This window comes from Homo sapiens, chromosome 11 (genome assembly GCF_000001405.40).
Source record: "Homo sapiens chromosome 11, GRCh38.p14 Primary Assembly".
Classification (NCBI taxonomy): Eukaryota; Metazoa; Chordata; class Mammalia; order Primates; family Hominidae; genus Homo; species Homo sapiens.
In genome coordinates, this window is record NC_000011.10 from 24139162 (window position 1) to 24158970 (window position 19809).

The 19809-nt window shown below is 36.7% G+C and overlaps 1 long non-coding RNA gene across 1 annotated transcript in view, besides 1 other annotated feature; it reads right to left on the reverse strand.

Moving 5' to 3' along the window:
- Positions 1-19375, reverse strand: part of LOC107984378 (uncharacterized) — a 39568-nt gene extending 20193 nt beyond the window's left edge. The window contains exons 1-2 of the long non-coding RNA XR_001748059.1: positions 19209-19375; positions 702-778 (exon numbers count right to left, since the gene is read on the reverse strand). This is a non-coding gene — a long non-coding RNA (uncharacterized LOC107984378). The remainder of the gene's footprint in view (positions 1-701; positions 779-19208) is intronic.
- Positions 16662-16956: an enhancer, noted in NCBI's record as "tiled region #1695; HepG2 Activating non-DNase unmatched - State 13:Ctcf, and K562 Activating non-DNase unmatched - State 24:Quies". NCBI's record gives its function as "activates a minimal TATA promoter and a strong SV40 promoter by Sharpr-MPRA in HepG2 and K562 cells {active_cell/tissue: HepG2 | K562}" and the evidence as "EXISTENCE:reporter gene assay evidence [ECO:0000049][PMID:27701403]".
- Positions 19376-19809: the final 434 nt, after the last annotated feature.

Consider the following 19809-nt stretch of genomic DNA (forward strand, 5'->3'; position numbering starts at 1 on the left):
AATAATATCCAGTTATTATAATTTTGGCAACATGTACATGGACAGTAGTTTCAAAGAAGATGGAAAAGATTTTAAGAATACTCACTAGACCGGGCATGGTGGCTCATGCCTGTAATCCCAGTACTTTTGGAGGCCAAGGTGGGCAGATCACAGGGTCAAGAGTTCAAGACCATCCTGGCCAACATGGTGAAACCCCGTCTCTGCTAAAAATACAAAAATTAGCTGGGCATGGTGGCTTGTGCCTGTAGTCCCAGCTATCCAGGAGGCTGAGGCAAGAGAATTTCTTGAACCTGGGAGGCCGAGATAGCAGTGAGCTGAGATCATGCCACTGCACTCCAGCCTGGCAACAGAGTGAGACTCTGTCTCCAAAAGAAAAAAAAAATACTCACTCACTGAAATCCATTATACCAAATGAAGAAATGAAGGTTATGATTGATGGGAAATTAAATACATAAGTGAATAATAAATTCTATACAAGATTTCTCAATATTGCCTTCTCCCTTTCTTGTATGAACATGATAAATATAAATGCCATGATGTTGCACACATTGATTATTGTTTGCCTCTAATACTACCCTACACTTTTTCCCCCACTTTGCAGAAAAGCCCAATTTCACTCAGAACTGCCATGTCTCCAGGCCTAGAAAAATAATCATGATTGCTTTAAATCCTTTGATAAGGTCATTTTTTTTCCAGCTTACCTTGCACCTGGGAGTCACCATGAGACTGAAGATTCTCTCCCCATGGATAAAAGAATAGCCCTTTGCCTATCATACCCCTGCAGAAAGAAATATAAATAAAATTATAGTATTAAAAAGTACATATGAATGAAGAATAGAAATTCAACATACTTTTTTTTTCAATTTCTACAACCTCTTCTTGCTCACACAATTGCCGAACTTTGAGCCCAACATAGTCTGGGTATTAAAAAGAAAATTATAGTAGATGAGAGAAAGATTATACCCCAATGTCACTGGCTCATCTGTAGTATCTACAATCTTGCAAATAGTATCTGAGTGTGCTGGACCAAGAAAGATTGAGTTTAATTTTGCTTCAGTCAGAATATACTGATACAGATGTCCTAACACAATGTTATGTATGCAGCATTCTGGCTCTGGTAGACAGCTGCAGTTTTACTTTATGGCTTAGCTAAAGCAAACGTAGATCTAAATCTGTACTATAGATATTGTGGGACAGAAACATGTTTACATAATATAGTAAAAGCTACTTAAAAAACTTGGGAGATGGAAATGTTTTGGATTCATCATGTGCTTATGCTCCCTCTAAAAATGGCTAATTTAAAGAGAGAGAGAGATTTGAAAGACTTGAACTTCATTCTAATTTGGATGAATTATTTGTGTGTCAGAATCTTAATAGTCCTATGCAGTTTTGCCATACGGTGTATGCTGGTGGGGAGATCTTCAATTAAAACATAGGCTCCCCATTTTCAATTGTACTGGAAGGGACTAAGTATTGACAAGCAGAGGTGGCTACAATTTTCCACCAAAAGCAAAGTGGTAATGGTACTTATCATAGTTAGCAGAAGGATCAGATATCTAAGATTGTTTTATTACATTGAAGAGTCAGGTTTTAGCTTGTTGAATTAGTTATTCCAAATGATAAAGTCAATAGGCAAACTAATAAGAATATATGACTAACATAGCATACCTATGACATCAGTCACTACGCTAGAGGGTTTGGTACCACCATTACCTGTAACACCTAGAACAACTTGACTGAAGGTGGGTATTTCTGTTCTGGAGAAAGATTAAAACCCACAGCTATGTAGAACTATTGAGTACTTAATCCAGTTCCATATTAAGTCCAAAGAACGTGGAATACTGGTCCAGACAGATCCATGAGAGAAATTATGGGAGGACTAGAGATAAAATTCTCAACTAAGTCTACCTAACAATTGTCCCATTTAGAACTAAAAAAAATTTATAACATCATTCTCTGGAAAAATACTCTCTGAATTAGTTTTTTTTTTTAATTTATGGAGAATTATAATATATAGGAAATGATAAGTATGATACCAAGTATATACATCAATAAATTATAACAACCAGAACATAATTTTATAAAAAATTTTGTATTAAATGGACCTCAGGAGCTCCCTTTATGCTTCCCTCCAATTACTTCTCCCTCCCTGTCTTAACTGATTTTCTCACTAATAATTTATAATTAGTTATTATAATAGTTTTGCCCATTTTGTATTTTTATCAATGTAACTAACTATATAATACATACTATTTTGAGTTTGTCTCCTTTCACCACGTATTATGTTTGTGAGGTTTAGCAAGATTGTTGTACATATTATAAATTATTCTCTCTCAGTATATTATAGTATTTCCTTGTATGAGTATACCATTAATCAATTCTATGGTAAGGAGTATTTGAGTAGCTTTGACAAACCCATTTTATAAATTGGTTATACTAATTTAAGTTCCCACAAACCATGTATGAAAGTTCTGAATATTTCACCTGTTCAACTCTGATGTTCATAGTAGGAATTTTCATTTAGTCATTTTTGTGTGATTGTATTGGTATATGTATAGCAGTTTGATTTTAATTTGCAGTCTCTGGTGATTAATGAAATTGAACACTTTTTCATATATTTATCACTAATTTGGAAACCTCTTTTGCAATGAGTATAAAATATTTTACATGTATAAGTTAGGTTTTCTTTTTTGATACATTTTCTGAATGAACACAAGATCATTTCCCATGATAAAAGTGTTCTTACTAACCCAGTGGACAAGCTAACCCAATCTTCATATATTTGTGAGTGTTCTTCACTCAGCACAGGACTTAATTATCTCATGAGCAAAACAGCCAGCTGGCAGGAATGTAATCCAAACGTAGTTTCAAACGTGGACTCCCTCAACAAGGCACCACTGATTTTGGTACCATCATTATTGAAAGTCTAATTTGCTACCCAAAATGATAAATATAAGTAATATCTGTGAAAGTATCTATGTCTACGCACTTTTCTTGTCAGTCATTCCATCACAAAGTGTTGCTGCCTCCTTGGGCCCTACCTAGGAAACAACAGATAGGACTTGTCTCTTTTCATCTCTTTCTCTCTCTCTCTGTAGCTCTGTGCAGTCTTTTATTTTAAGGAAGTGGGGCATTAGCAGGAGGAGGAGGCCTAGTTTCACTTTTTATGTTTCTCCCAAATCTCTCTCTTACCTAGAGTTTCTTAAGGCTTCAGAACTTCAAAACCAAAGCCGGAAAGACTCCTATATTTATTTACTTCCTACCAAATCTCGTTACCGAAGCAATGATCATGAGGCTGATAAAATCTTAGTTGGAGGAAAATAATAATTATATAAATATCATAACAATGGTATTATTGTGATAACATTACCCCTACACGATGAATTTTCCATAATAGTCTCAGGGTTTTTTTTTTTTTTTTTTCATTTTAACTGAGTGAACTTGAACAAGTTATTTAACCTTTCTAAGCCTCATTTCCTTCAATTAGTAAAGGGTCCATAATAGCAATGTTTCAGCAGTTTCATGATTAGTAAGTGACTCAGTACAGCATCTGGCTCCTTTTAAACTTGTTCAGTACATGATAGCTATATATAAGCCATGTACTGTTATTCAAATAATTTATAGAAGGCAGCTAAGAAGGGAGAATTTCTGTGAACTTTCCCTGCAGTGGTTCTTTAACTCCAATAGCTACAGTCATTACATTCAGACTAGTACTATTAATGTGCCACCAATAATTTCAGAAAACATCTTGACAATAGCTCAAGTTCTAAGAGAAGGTCTAAAAGACCTTCAAGAGTGAGGCTGAAGAAGTCAGCCAGCAAACCTAAAGAACTAGCAGAACTGACAGCATCCCCAAGGAAATGGGGCCAGGTTAATGCTCATTGCCAGGAATTTTTGCTCCAGCATTTTCAAAACTCACAGGAGGTCACAGATGAGACAGGCTCTCAGAATCTCCTATGGCTTCCTGATGTCACAAGTGCCCTTGCTGTCCTGTCATGTCACATGCCAAAAATAAAAACTCTTCCTATGCTCTTCCTTAGCAAAGCTCTGTGGTCTTCATATTTTGGATGTAAGAGGAGACAAATGCAACAATGCATATACCGTGGCTTGAGGACCAAAACTCTTCTTAAAATCTTATTTAGAGATCACAAATAGTAATATTTGAGTGCAAAAGTGGCCAAGATTTTAATGTCTCTTTTGCTAAGTTTTTTTAATAAGACATTTTAGTGCTGCAATATAGGGGGTGTGTGTGTGTATGTGCACGTTGTGCACATGTGTGCGTTTGAGCCTGAAGGTATTTATTCATGTCCCTGATGACTGTTAAGCATCATTAAAGGAAATTAAACAACTGGGATGGGGAAGCACTTAAAGCTTATTAATTCTCAAAATTTTACAGTGTGATGGGAAAATAGTGATGCAAAATATTATAAGCAAGGCAAGGATTGACAATTAGATTTTTTATTTTCTCACTTATATAAATTAACAGAAAATCAGAAGCTGTTCTAGGTATATTCCCTTCCTTTTATATTTTGCCTGTTGTCACTCATTTCTTTATCTATCCCACCCTACTCCCATCATATGCACACTTACAATAAATAAACCTTTGTTTTCCATTCATACCTGAATAGTTTTGCATCTGAAGGGTTTTATTTTAATGTTTTTCTCTCTTTGAATGAAATGTTGTTCCATATAACTACATCTCTAAATAACTTACGGACTTTTAGAACATGTTGTAGAATAAACCATACTTAAGAGGCTATCTCATTTTTACTTGTTAAATAAAAACACTCTCTCATTTGAAACTTCATAAAATTTAAGCTGAATATTTCTTAGAGCCTACATTGTTTTCTGTTGTAATTATTTGAATTTATTCTAAAATTTTTAAATTCTGTGTCACTTTAGGTTGAACAATGTAAATATTTCATAAATATTACAAAAGTATGAATAAATAAGAGAATCAATACAGTGAATTTATTCTAGCAATCAGCCTATTTTCCTATAGAGCCATCCACATTTAATCAGATACAAATATTAAAGCAGTACCTTAATATTGAGGGTAATAATGCAATTCTAAAAGTTCCTGGTGTGCTTATTTTTAGTACAATAAAGCATTTATGATATGCCTACTATATGCATGGTTTCATATTAAACAATCAAGATACAGAAACAAATTAAAAAGGAATAAACCTTTTTTCAGTTGAAATTATTATGCAAACAAACAAATCATAATACCTAATGACAGAATAATGAAATAGTAAGGTAAAAGATATAAAAATAGCATTTTAAAAGACTGATTAACAGTATTTGGCAGGGGAAATATTATCTAAGGAGAATACTTTAGCCTGGATATTCTTTATAGAACGTGCCTTGTTTGTAAAGGCACAGTTAAAAGGAGAATCTGGAGTGATAAATAATCTGTGTATTATCATTGAAACACAAGTGAAGTGAGGGAAGTGTTTTTTGCTTTGATGGGAAATTAGCTCTATGGGATAGGCATGGGCCATGATGTGAAAAATATTGTATTCCATGCTTAAGAATGTTATATTGTAATATTGGAAACCATAACAAGATTTTCAGCAGTTTGGTGGCATGACCCATGATGTAGTGATGAAAAGTATGGGCTCTGAATCCACATTGTCAGGATTTGGAAACCACGTTTGCCAATAACAAATTATCAGACCTTAGTTTATATAAATTTTTTGTGCATTGATTTTAATGTCTATAAATGGTGAATAAAATATTACCTATATCATTGAGTTGTGAGAATTGAATTAGTTAGTATATCAAAATCACTTAAAACCTGTCATACAGTAAAGCTAATACAAGTATGAGTTATTCTTCTTACTGTTTTTGTTGATATGTCAAAGTGTTAGCAGTGTCATAAATATGGGAAGAGTAAAGTTAGATTCAGTGAGATGGTTAGAGTAATATTGTTATAACATGTTACACAATAAAGTATATAATAATGCAGGCAGGAGATAATGAGAAACCAAAATCAAGCCACAGAAGCCGTAACAAGAAGTGAAATAATTGAAAACACAAGTTTGCCTGTGTGTAGTTGCTTTACTTTGGTTTTATTTGCCTTCATATTTTGAAATATGAATTTTATAAAGAAATATATTACACTTAGAAATACAAATATATGTATGTATACATATCCCCATTTTAAACAGAAATTATTCTCATATGCATCTTTTTATTTAAAATATGATTTGAAATCTTTATACAGGTAGATGTACTTTTTTATATTTTTAATCTGTCTTATTGTCTTATTTATGATAGATAAATTCAGAAAATTTTATAATACATAAATGGTAGAACAATTTATATTCCTTTGGGTAAATACCTAGTAACGAGATTGCCAGGTCATTACAATAAGATTGTTAGTTCTGTTTTTCTTTGAGAAATTTTCAAAATACTTTTCGCAATGGCCGAACTAATTTTCATTCCAAACAGTAGTATGTAAGCACACCCTTGTCTCTGCATCCTTACCAACATCTGCTCTACTATTTTTTGACTTTTTAATAATAGCCATTCTGACTGGTGCGACGTGGTATCACATTGTAGTTTTAATTTACACTTCTCTAATAATTAGTGATGGTTTTTTTTTTTCCCATGTGCTTGTTGGCTGCTTGTATGTTCTTTTAAGAAGTGTCTTTTCAAGCCCATTTTTAAATTTTTGTTTTGTTTTGTTTTTCTCTTGGTGATTTAAGTTCCTTATATATAGTGGTTATTATAACTTGTGGGATGTATAGTTTACAAATATTTTCTCCCTCTCTGTAGGTTGTCTATTTACTCTGTTGATAGTTTCTTTGGCTGTGCAGAAGCTCTTTAGTTTTATGAGATACTACTTGTCTATTTTTGTTTTTGTTGCAATTGCTTTTGGAGTCTTCATCATGAAATCTTTGCCAAGGTCAATGACCAGAATGGAATTTCCTATGGTTTCTTCTAGGGTTTTTACAGTTTTAGATTTTACATTTAATCTTAAATTCATCATGTGTTGATTTTTGCATATAGTGAAGGGAAGGGATCTAGCTTCAGCTTTCTGCATATATCTAGTCAGTTATTCCAGCACCATTTATTGAATAGGAAATCTTTTCTCTATTGCTTGATATTGTCAACTTTATCAATGATGAGATAATTAGAAGCACGTGGCTTTATTTCTGGTTTCTCTAAGCTGTCTATGTGTCTGTTTTTATAGCAGTACCATGCTGTTTTGGAGACTGTAGCCTTGTAGTATAGTTTGAACTTGGGTAATGTGATACTTTTAGTTTAATTCTCTTTGCTTAGGATTGCTTTGGGTGTTCAGGCTGTTTTGAGGAACCCTAAAATTCAGGTTCCATATGAATTTTAGATGTGATTTTCTAATTCTTTGAAAAATGACATTGATAATTTGATAGGAATGGTGCTGAATCTGTAAATTGCTTTGGGCTGTGTGACCATTTTTTTAACAATATTAGTTCTTCCTAAGCATGAGCATGGGATGTTTTTCCATCTTGCTGTATCATCTTGATTTCTTTCAGCAGTGTTTTGTAATTCTTATTCCAGAGATCTTCCAAATCCTTGGTTAGGTGTATTCCTATGTATTTTCTTCTTTTTGTGGCTATTGCATATGGTATTGTGTTCTTGACTTGGCTCTAAGCTCAGATATTACTGGTATTTAGAAATGCTACTAATTTGTGCACATCAATTTTATATTCTGACATTTTATTGAAGTTGTTTATCAGGTCTAGGAGCCTTTGGAAAGAGACCAAGGGGTTTTCTTAATAGCTTTTGTGGGTGTTTTGTATTTCTGTGAGGTCACTGGTAATGTTGCCTTTGTCATTTCTTAATGTGTTTATTTGAATCTTCTTTATTAGCCTGAATAGCAGTCTATATATCTCATTTCTTATTTCAAAACTTGAACTTAGAGTTTCAGTGATCTTTTCTATGGATTTTCTTGTCTCTATTTCACTCATTTCAGCTCTAATTTTGGTTACTTCTTTTGTTCTGTTAGTTTTGGGGTTGATTTACTCTTGGTTTTCTAGTTTGTCTAGGTATAATGTTGGGTTGTTAATTTGCAACATTTCTAACTTCTTGATATAGGAATTTAGCATTATAAACTTCCTCTTAACACTGCGTTACCCATGTCCTAGAGTTTCTAGTATGCTGTATCTTCATTTTCATTTTCTTCAAAATATTTTTGACTTCTTCAGTTTCATTCTTTGCCCAAAAGTGATTCAGGGGCAGGTTGTTTAATTTTCATGTAATTGTATGTTTTTGAGAGATCTTCTTGGTATCGATTTCTATTTTTACTGTGCTGTGTTCTGGGACTATGGTTGATATGATTGCAATTTGTTTGAATTTGTGAAAATTGCTTTATGACTGCATATGTGGTCAATCTTAGGGTATATGCCATGTGCAGATGAGAAGAATGTTGTTGTGTGGCATTGATATGGTTTGAATCTGTGTTCCCATCTAAGTCTCATATCAAATTGTAATCCCCAGTTGGGAGGTGGGACCCTGTGGGTGGTGAATGGATCATGGGGGTGGTTTCTCATAAATGGGTTGGCACCATCCCCCTTGTTGCTGTTCTCATGATAGTGAGTAAGTGAGTGAGTTATCATGATATTTGGTTGTTTGAAAGTTTGTAGCACCTCTCTCTCTCTCTCTCTCTCTCTCTCGGTCCTACTCCTGCCATGTAAGATGCCTGCTCCTGCTTTGCCTTCCACCATGAGTAAAAGCTCCCTGAAGCCTCCCCAGAAGCAGATACTGCCATGCTTCCTGTACAGCCTGCAGAACTATGAGGCAATTAAACCTCTTTTCTTTACAAATGACCCAGTCTCAGATTATTTCTTTATAGGGCTGTGAGAATGGACTAATACAGGCTTGTTTAGCAGATGTCTGTTAGGTCCATTTGATAAAGTGTCAAGTTTAGGTGTCAAATGTCTTTGTTAGTGTTCTGTCTTAATGATGTATCTAATACTATTGGTGTGGTTTTAAAGATTCCCACTATACTTGTGTGATTATATAAGTCTTTTTCGTATGTTTCTAAGCATTTGTTTTATGAATCTGGGTTTTCCAGTGTTGGATGCATATATACCTAAGATAGTTAAGTCTTGTTGAAGTTAATCCTTTATCATTATGTAATACCCTTGTCTTTTTTTAATTGCTGTTGATTTAAACTATTTTTGTCTGAAATAAAAATAGCAACCTCTGCTCTTTTACATTTTCCATTTGCTTGATAGATCTATCTCCATCCCTTTACTTTTAGCCTACGTGTGTCAATGCATGTGAAATGGGTGTTTGGAGACAATATAAAATTGGGTCTTGCTGCTTTATTCAACTTGCCACTCTGCGCCTTTTAAGTGGGGAATTTAGCCCGGTTCATTCAAAGTTAATATTGATATGGGATGATTTGATACTGTTGTCATGTTGTTAGCTGATTGTTATGTAAGCATAATTGTATATTTGCTTTATAGTGTCAGAGGGCTACGTACTTAAGTGTGTTTTTGTGGTGGCAGGTCTTTTATTATGACCACACACAGGTGTGGTGGTAATAAATTACCTTAACTTTTACTTTTCTGAAAAGGATTGTATTCTCCTTCACTAATGAAGCTTAGTTTGGCTGGTTATGAAATTCTGGGTTGGAATTTCTTTCCTTATTTTTATTTATTTATTTATTTATTTATTTATTTATTTATTTTTGAGACGGAGTCTCGCTCTGTCACCCAGGCTGGAGTGCAGTGGTGCGATCTCGGCTCACTGCAAGCTCTGCCTCCTGGGTTCACACCATTCTCTTGCCTCAGTCTCCCAAGTAGCTGGGACTACAGGTGCCCACCACCACACCTGGCTAATTTTTTGTATTTTTTTGTAGAGACGGGGTTTCACCATATTAGCCAGGATGGTCTCAATCTCCTGACCTTGTGTACTGGGATTACAGGCATGAGCCACCACGCCCAGCCTGGAATTTCTTTTCTTAAACAATGGTGAATATGGGCCCCCAAACTCTTCTGGCTTGTAAGGTTTTTTTCTGAAAGGCTGGCTATTAGCTTGAAGGAGTTCCCTTTATAAGTAAGCTTCCATTTCTGTCTAGCTGCCATTAATATTTTTTGTGTGTGTGGACCTTGGAGAATATGATGACGATGTGTCATGGGGATGATCATTTTGTACAGTATCTTGCAAGAGTTCTCTGAATTTTCTGAATTTGCATGTTGATCTCTCTGGTGAGGTTGAGGAAATTTTTGTGGATAAATTTTCAAATATGTTTTCCAAGTTACTTGCTCTCTTTCTCTCTCTTTCTGGGGTGCAGTGAGTTGTAGGTTTGGTCTCTTTACAAAATCAGATATTTCAAGGAGGTGTTGTTCACTTTTTAGATGCTTTTTACAAATTTTTGTCTGAATAAGTTGTTTTGAAGAACCAATCTTTGAGCTTTGACGTTCTTTTTCTGCTTGGTCTATTCTCCTGTTAAAATTTACAATTATATTAATTAATTTTTGTAGTGGGCTATTCAGTTCTAAGAAATCAGTTTGGTTCTTTCTTAAAGTGGCTATTTCAGTTTTCTGCTCTTATATAATTTTATTGGATCGCTTATACTCCTTAGATTGGGTTTTAGCTTTCTCCTGTATCTCAATGATATTCATGGACATCCAGATTCTGAATTTTATGTCTGTTATTTCAACCATTTCAGTTGGGTTAAGAACCATTTCTGAGGAGCTAGTGTGGTCATTTGTAGGTAAGAAGACACTCTAGCTATTTTGAGTTGCCAGAGTTCTTGCCTGAGTTGCCAGAGTTCTGATCCTTTCTCATGTGTGTGGGCTGATGTTCCTTTAAGGTTTGAAGTTGCTGTCCTACGAAGGGACCTTTTCACTTTTATATTCTTTGATACTCTTGAGAGTTTGACTATGGTAAAAGTTGGGTTTTCAACTGGCTTTGTTTCTGAGTGATTTCAGGGACCAAAGCTCAGCTCAGCATTCCTTAGCTTCCTGATCTACCCCTAAGAGGATGTGACCAGGCCTGCAGCTCTTTTCCTGGCCCCTCAAGGTTAAACTCGTGCTGTGCTGGAGGGGCTGAGGTGTTCCCAGACCACTGACAACAACACTATGATGGGAGGCTGTTAGCAAAAGTGCCTTAGCGCAGCACTGGCAGAATGGCATGGGTCCCTCTGCATGTGTGCACCACCAGTGGGGTGATGGTTCATCCCAGGTGTGCTTGCACTTCAGTGGTAGGACAGCAATGGGTTTAGTGTGTGCATGCACCAGCAAAGCAGCAGGGACCAGCTGAGGGCAAGTGCCCACTAGCAGAGACCCACCTGCAAAAGCTCTCAGACTGTTAAGCAGAGTCTGCGGGCAAAAGAGGTATGAGGGTGACTACCAGCAAACTCCTCTCCGAGACAGCTGAGGTTTCACTGCGAGTAAATATGGCCAGGCAGGGACCCAGAGATAGAACAGCAGGCAGTGATTGCTCAGATCAGACTTGCCCCATCTAACAGGTTAGATAGCCCTACTCTGTCCAGGTCTGGCAATCAACAAACCCTAAAGTTTCCTAGAGGAGTATGGCAAGCCTTAGGGGATGGGCGCCCATGGCCTGATCAACAGCAACTGTTCCTGCTAGTTGGCAATCCTGTGCAGGGTTTGCAGCTTCCTTCTCTTTCAGCCCAGGGTCTGCGTCCTCTTTCTGTCCACTCTCAATGTCTTCTTTCCAAAGATCTGTTCAGAGTGTGCCTGTCTTCTTAATGATCTGTTGTCTCAGTGGGTGAAGCTCTTCCTGGCTGTGTTAAATTGGCCATCTTGGCTCCTTCCCTCCATTTAATCTTAATTTACTGCTAAAAGTCCTGTCTCCAAATAGTCACATTGGGGGTTAGGGTTTCAACATTGTAGGGACAAAAATACCATCTACAGTATCATTTAAATGAACAGAAGCATTTATTCTATTTTTATTTACTATAATTACAAAAATGTTCAATTAAAATATGTTATTAACACTTTTGTTTTCTTCAAAGATTCTTATAGTGTTAGCTCTTACATTTAGGTTTTAATTCATTTTGAGGTAACTTTTTGATATATTGTGAGCTACGCATTTTAAGTATGGCTATAGTAGCCATTTACTGAAGTGAGGTCAAAGTGAAAATCATTGAAGTTGAGAGCAAACACATGTAAAACTAAACAATGGAATGAGTCATTATATTAAAATTAATCAAGGTAATAGTAGGAGGTGGAAGGGAGAGGAATATCTAACTGGGATTCACAGTCTCATTTTCTGCAAGGAGTAAATTCATTTGCTTTTTTAGTTAATAATGAAGTCAATATCTCAATCCCTTTATGATTTTCTTCTGGTTGTCATATTTATCATGCAGTTCTGATTACTGTGTATGTTAATTATCATACACTGCCTCTTTAAAATTCTACTAAAATTGATGAACACTTTTTTTTCTAAGCTGGATACTGGAACTTGTTTTGTGATCAGGAATTAGCATTATACCTACAGACTCTATCTATCTATCTATCTATCTATCTATCTATCTATCTATCTATCATCTATCTTCTTCCAATACCCTGAAACATGATTTAAATTCTAATTGTATGAGATGAACAAAATAGAAGAATCCTGTGATGAGAATTTAATGCAATTTATTATGCATACTTAAGAGTAACATATTTTGAAGTTACTGTGTACACATTGTAAGAACCTTTCTGAAGCACACAAGACTTTTTTTTTTTTTTTTTTTTTTGTCTTAGTCTTGCTCTCTCATTCAGGCTGGAGTGCAGTGTCACAATCTCGACTCACTGCAACATCTGCCTCCTGGGTCAAGTGATTCTCCTACCTCAGCCTCCTGAGTAGTTGGGATTACAGGCATCCACTACCACGCCCAGCTAATTTTTGTATTTTTAGTAGAGACAGGTCTCACCATGCCAGTCAGTTGGTCAGGCTGGTCTCAAACTCCTGACCTCAGGTGATCTGCCTGCCTCGGCCTCCCAAAGTGCTAGGATTACAGGCTTGAGCCACCGCACCTGGCTGATAAGACAATTGTAAGGAAATCTTTCATATAATGTAACCTCTGCAGGAGTCTTAGCCATATTCTGAGTGAGGATTACTTTGGATAGCAGTGATGAACACTCAAATTCCCACAAAATGCCAGTTTTTGCAATAGTGTAATCTGTCAAAGGAATTCACAATGCCCTCTAAATGTTGAGAGTTTGCCTGGGATGCCAAGACCTGCCATTTCTTAAAAAATGAAGTGGGCGGCCGGGCGCAGTGGCTCACGCCTGTAATCCCAGCACTATGGGAGGCCGAGGCGGGCAGATCACGAGGTCAGAAGATCGAGACCATCCTGGCTAATACAGTGAAATCCCGTCTCTACTAAAAATACAAAAAAATTAGCCGGGCGTGGTGGCAGGCGCCTGTAGTCCCAGCTACTCAGGAGGCTGAGGCAGGAGAATGGCGTGAACCCGGGAGGCGGAGCTTGCAGTGAGCCGAGATTGCGCCACTGCACTCCAGCCTGCGCGACAGAGCGAGACTCCTTCCAAAAAAAAAAAAAAAAAAAAAAAAAAATTAAGTAGGCAAGTAGGCAAAATAATGGTTCTTCCAAAATGTTCACATGCTGATATTCAGAGTTGATGAATATGACATTTTACATGGCAAAGGGGGATTCTGGTTGCAGTTAGAATTAGGTTGCTAATCAGCAGATTTAAAAATAGGGAAAAAGATTATCCTGGATTACCTAAGTGAACGCAGTGCAATCACAGAGTGCCTTAAAGTGAAAGAAAATCAGAGAGAGATGGGAGTATGAAAAAAAAGGACAGAGAGAGGCAATATTACTGGCTTTGGAGATGAAAGAGCTGGGCCTTTAGAAGCTTGAAAAGACAAGGAAACAAAATTTGTTTAGAGCACCCAGAAAGAAACACAGCCCTGAAAATACCTTGATATTAGCCCCTAAGACCTTTGTCATACTCTGATCTACAACATATGAAGACAATTTGTGTTGCTTAGCTTTGTGATATTTGTCATAATAACAAATGAATACTAATACAAGGAGCCAATATACCTTTTTTCTTCTAAGCAATGTCCCCAGAATGACTTTATTTAAAAAAAAAGTTTCATTGAAATGCATCTTTATTTATATCTGGAAAGAAATAAAACAGCTAATCTAGCACTATAGATGCCACGATCATATTCATTTTGCATTAAGTAATCAAGATATCATAAGTAGTGGGTCAATCATGAGAAAGCCAGGATTCAAACTAGGTGAGCTTATTTGAGAAAACATATTATTAATAATTAAACTATCCGCTTTTTCACTACATTCTTTGGGATGAGTCCATGGTGTGTGCAGCCTGAGAAGCTTCCTAGGTAACTCTGATATTCATTCCTGATTGAAAATTGCTGCTCTAAGCACAAAACTCTGTGCATGATAACTGCTTGAACAGCCTTGTGCTTAAAGTGTCAGCTTTTTTCTACTTGATAAGAAAAAGGGATATAGAATTGAATAAAAAGCCCCATTCTGTTAGAAATGTGAAGTTAAGCTAGGTGCCATAATACTTCCTGCAGAGTGCAATAAAACAATTCTTGTGAAAATGTGGTTTAGTAACTTACTTTTAATCCTGCTCACTATTATGTAGATTCTTCAATAAATGTGGAACTGTCGCTTCATATATCTTAGTGTGCTATAACACTTCCAAGGACCCCATAAGGACACTACATATTTGGAGGCACCTGTAAAATACAGTTTGAAGTGCCCTTTCATATTATTCTTATCACATTATTTAATTGTCAATAAGGTCTTTAAGGTAAGGAATTGTGTTCTTGTTTTCTCTATTTAGCCCCAAAAACTTGAGTATCAGAGTGATGTGTATTACTGGTTCAAAAAATGCCTCCTGAATTCTTATTTTGTGACCTCCCTTTGTTTAAAAATGACTTTTCTCAGACTTATGAAATGCAGGGTCTCAATATTATTCAGGACAACAAACTATTTGTCTTGCATGTGCATTTTTAATAAAAATCATTTCACAAATAAGAAAGCCATATAAAAAAGGAAGATACTATATAATCAAGAACCTGGTAGGAAATAACCAAGATTTATCAAACTGCATGTAAGAAAACAGGGCCTCGGGCACAGTGAAAACAAATGTACTCCTTGTGAATTCAGTCATCTGAAAAAAATTGGGACTAAGAAAGTATAAACAGCTGCTTACCATGCGTGGGAAAAAATCAAATGAACAGGGCTGATGAAGCATCAGTAAAATTATTTGATGACTAGGGAAGAAAGACAAAGTGCAAAGTGAAAATAAGCTGCTTAATTAAAATGTTTCCCTCTACCTCTGTTATGAAATAAACACAAAATCTTTTTGTTTAATCAAACTTTCTTTATATTTAAATTATTCTCTGGAGTTCCACATTGGTGATTTAGGCCAAGCTCATTATTCAGATGTTAAAAAGAAAAACATGCTTTTTGAAGAAGGACTATTATTCAGCTTTGAAAATCCATAGTGGATTGTACTTTCCTGTCCTGCTTACATTGATATGACACTTAAAACCATAAATTTTTCTTCTGGTATTTATTCTCATGACCTGATAATGAAATATGCATTTCAAAGAATGTCATAAGAGTGAAGAAAATTACATTAAACATTTATGAGTTTATTATTCCCATATTAAATCCAACAACAAGGCCTATAATTCTGCCTGTTAAATAATATTTCAAATATATCCAGTGAAGAGAAATGCCAAGGTGGTTGATTAGAAGAAGCTAGTGCATGCCGTTCTCATAGAGAAGAGACAGAATGACAAATAAGCACTAACTTTTCAAGTGGATCGCCCAGGAGGCTGTGTTGGAATTCATCAAGGAAGCAATATTGACCCACAGAGAACAGAAAAGAGAAAGGCAGGAGAACCAACCACAGGTACTGGCACAGAGCCCGGGGGAGAGGGGGGCTTCCTGCTGTGGGGAAGGGGTGAGTGAGTGAGTGTCCCTGGGGACTCACACTTCTGCCAAGGAACTTTGCAATCCTTGGCATAGAAGATCCCTCATGAACCCTCTGGTCTACAGAACCACATGGAGAGCTGCCTGGAGTATGGACAGAGCCACTGCTCAAGCCTCCACAGAGACCCACAGGCTTTGGATCTCTAAGTATCCTGTTGCCAACAGCAATAGACCTGCCAACAAGGGCCCCCAGGCTCTTGTGTGTACCTCTGGATAGGGGCTATATCTATGGTGCTGAGAAGCAGATGGACAACAGTTTGCTCCTCCTCTATATCTCTCCAGGCAGGGCCTCCTCGCCTGGGCCCCCATTACAGCTGCCCCATCACACTTGATTACTTAAATCAGTAGCAGCCTGCATTTCTCTGGGATGGAGCTCCCAAAGACAACTGAAAGGTCTTCTGTCATTGCTGCCACGGTGGTAATCATCGTTGCTTCCCCCAGCTAGAGAGGAAACAAACATTCTGATTGTTTTTGTGCTCCTATAGTGTGCTTTAACTGTCCTAAGGAGAGAAGGACAGACTGTTCTCTCCATGAGTTCCCAGACCCCCTGTTCTTCACCAGGCAGGGCCCCATGGCTTAGGCCGGCAGCATAATTGTTGTATCCCAGCTGATCACTTTGATCAGCCATGAGTCTGTTTCTGTGGAGCAGAGCTCCCAGAGAAAACTCACAGGCCCACTGCCATTGCCACTGCTGAGGTCACTGCCCTGTTGCCTCAAACTTTGGGGTGAGGGGAGAACAAAAAGCCTCAACTCGTCCCAGGGCTGCAGCGCTGACATCTGTGGCCAGCACTCAAATATTCAAACGGGGGAGGAGCCCACACACTCAGTGCACTGACATGGATGAGGCTCATGGGTCCACAGGCTGCTCCAGGAGCCCGGAATGCCTCCCTCTACAGGACTGGCCCAGAAAAGGCATGGCTTATCTCCCTGCGGTGGCTTCTGTTGAGGGAGCTCCATAGCCTGGAACACCTAACAAAGGACACACAAGTGCAGTGCCAGTGATTGGAGGGGGCTCCTTTAAGGCCCAAAAGGGAACATGGTGAGGCGCGTCACCACTCTCCCTGCTGCACTCCAGAGCACACCTGCAAACACCAGAAATACAAAGGAGCTATGTGGCTAAGAACCTATCTACTGCCCATTATTCTTAAGTGTCATCTAACAGATAAAAGCCCAAACTACAACCCCAAAGCCACTTTGCTAATATTCTCCCTTGTGCAACCAATGGCAAGGATTCAGACCCAAATAAAGACCCTGCACAAAGCCTTGGCTCTCTGAAAAATCCAGAAACAAAGCCAAGTGACTATACTCAAGTTACGCCATAGTTAAAAAAGCACCAGTTCTCTCAGATGAGAAAGAATCAGCACAAGAACTCTGGCAATAAAACAAAGAAAAAAATGTTCTTTTATCTCCAAATGAGTTAACTAGCTCTCTAGCAATGATTCTTAATCAGGCAGAAGTGACTGAAGTGACAGACATTAAATTCAGAATCTGGATGTTAAGGAAGTTCATTGAGATTCAATAAAAAGTTGAAACCCAGTTCAAGATATCCAGTAAAATGCCAAGAGCTAAAAGAAAAAAATAGCCACTTTAAAAAGAGCCAAACTGATCTTCTAGAGTTAAAAAATATACTAAAATAATTTCATGATACAATTAGAACTACTAACAGCAGAATATGCCAAAACAAAGAAAGAAACTATGAGCTTGAAGACAAGTGCTTTAAATTACCTCAATCAGGCAAAAATCAAGAATAAAGAATTAAGAAATGTGAATAAAACCTCCAAGAAATATGGGACTATGTAAAGAGTTCAAATCTAGGACTCATTGGCATTCCTGAGAGAGAATAAACAATATTGAAATTATGTTTGAAAATATAGTCCATAAAAATTTCTCCAATCTTGCTATAGTGATTGACATACAAGCCTAAGCAATAGACAGAACCCTGGCTAGATGCTATGCAAGATGATTATACCAATGCATGTAGTCATCACATTCACCAAGGACAATGCAAAAACAGAAAAAATAAAAGAATAAAGTTAAAGGCAGCTAGAGAGAAGGGTCAAGTCATGTACAGAGGGAATGCCATCAGGCTAGCAGCAGAACTTTCAGCAGAAACTTTATAAACCATCAGAGATTGGGAGTATATTTTCGTCATATTTAAAGAAAAATTCTAGCCAAGAATTTCATACCCTGCCAAACTAAAATTCATTAATGAAGGAGAATTACAATCTTTCTCAGACAAGAAAATACAGAGGAAATTCATTTCAATTAGACCAGTCTTACGAGAGGTACTTAAGGGAGTGCTAAACATGGCACTGAAAGAACACCAACTGCTAACACATAAGCACACTTAAGCACATTTCCCAAAGGAAATAGAAAGCCACTATACAGCCAATTTTACATAACAACCAGCTAACAATATGAAGACAAAATCTCACATAGCAATTCTAACCCTGAATGTAAATGGACTAAACAGCCCACTTAAAAGGCTTAGAGTGGTCAGCAGGATAAAAAGACAAGGCTCAACCATGTGTTACTTTAAGACCCATCTCACGTGGAATGATACAGATAAGCTCAAAGTACAGGGATAGAGGAAAATCTACCATGCAAATAAAAAACAACAAAGAGCAGGAGTTGCTATTCTTATATCAGATAAAACACACTTTAAACCAATAAATATGAAGAAGGACATTACTTAATAATAGAGTTCAACTCAACAAGGAGACTTAACTATTCTCAATATATACACACCCAACATTTGAGTTTCCAGATTCATAAAACAAGTTCTTCTGGAACTACAAAAAGACATACAGAACCACACAATAACAGTGGGAGACTTCATCATCTCATTGATAGCATTAGACAGATCATCAAGGTAGAGAACTAACAAAATAATTGTGGACGTAAACTAGGCACTTGGCCAATTGGACCTAATAGACATCTACAGAAAGCTCCACCCAACAAACACAGAATATATATTCTTCTCACCTGCACACACAACATATTCTAAAATCAACCACATGCTCGGTCATAAAACAAGTCTGAATAAATTAAAAAAAATTACAATCATTCAAGCACACTCTTAGAGTATTCTGAAATAAAAACAGAAATCTATATGAAGAACCTCTCTCAGTACTACCCAAATTCATGGAAATCAAACAACTTATTCCTGAATGACTCCCTGGTAAACATAAAAATTAAGATAGAAATAAAAAATTTCTTTGAAATTGATGAAAATAAGAACTCAACTTACCAAAATCTCTGAGATGCAGGTAAAGCCAGTGTTAAGGGGAAAGTTGATACCACTAAATGCCGTCATCAAGAAGTTAGAAAATCTCAATTAACAATCTCAATTTGGACCTAAAAGAACTAAGGGGGAAAGAAAAAACCAACCCCATAGCCAGTAGAAGAAAAGAAATGACTAAATTTAGAGAATGAATAAAATTTAGATGCAAAAATCTCTACAAAATATCAATTAAATCAAAAGTTGATTCAAAATAAACAAGGTTAATAGACTGCTAGATTTAAAAATCCAAATAAGTACAATCAGAAATGACAATTATGACATTACAACTAATCCCACAAAAGGCAAAAGATTCTTAGAAAAAACTATGAAAAATTCTATGCACACAAATTAGAAAATCTAGTGGAAATAGACACATTTCTGGAAACACACATCTTCTAAGACTGAATCAAGAAGAGATTGAGACACTGAATAGATCAATGTTGAGCCCTGAAATTGAATCTGTAATATATATATATATATACACACACATATCCCTACCAAACAAAAAAAGCTCTGGACCAGATGGATGCACAGCTGAATTCTACAAGTTGTACTAAATTCCTACTGA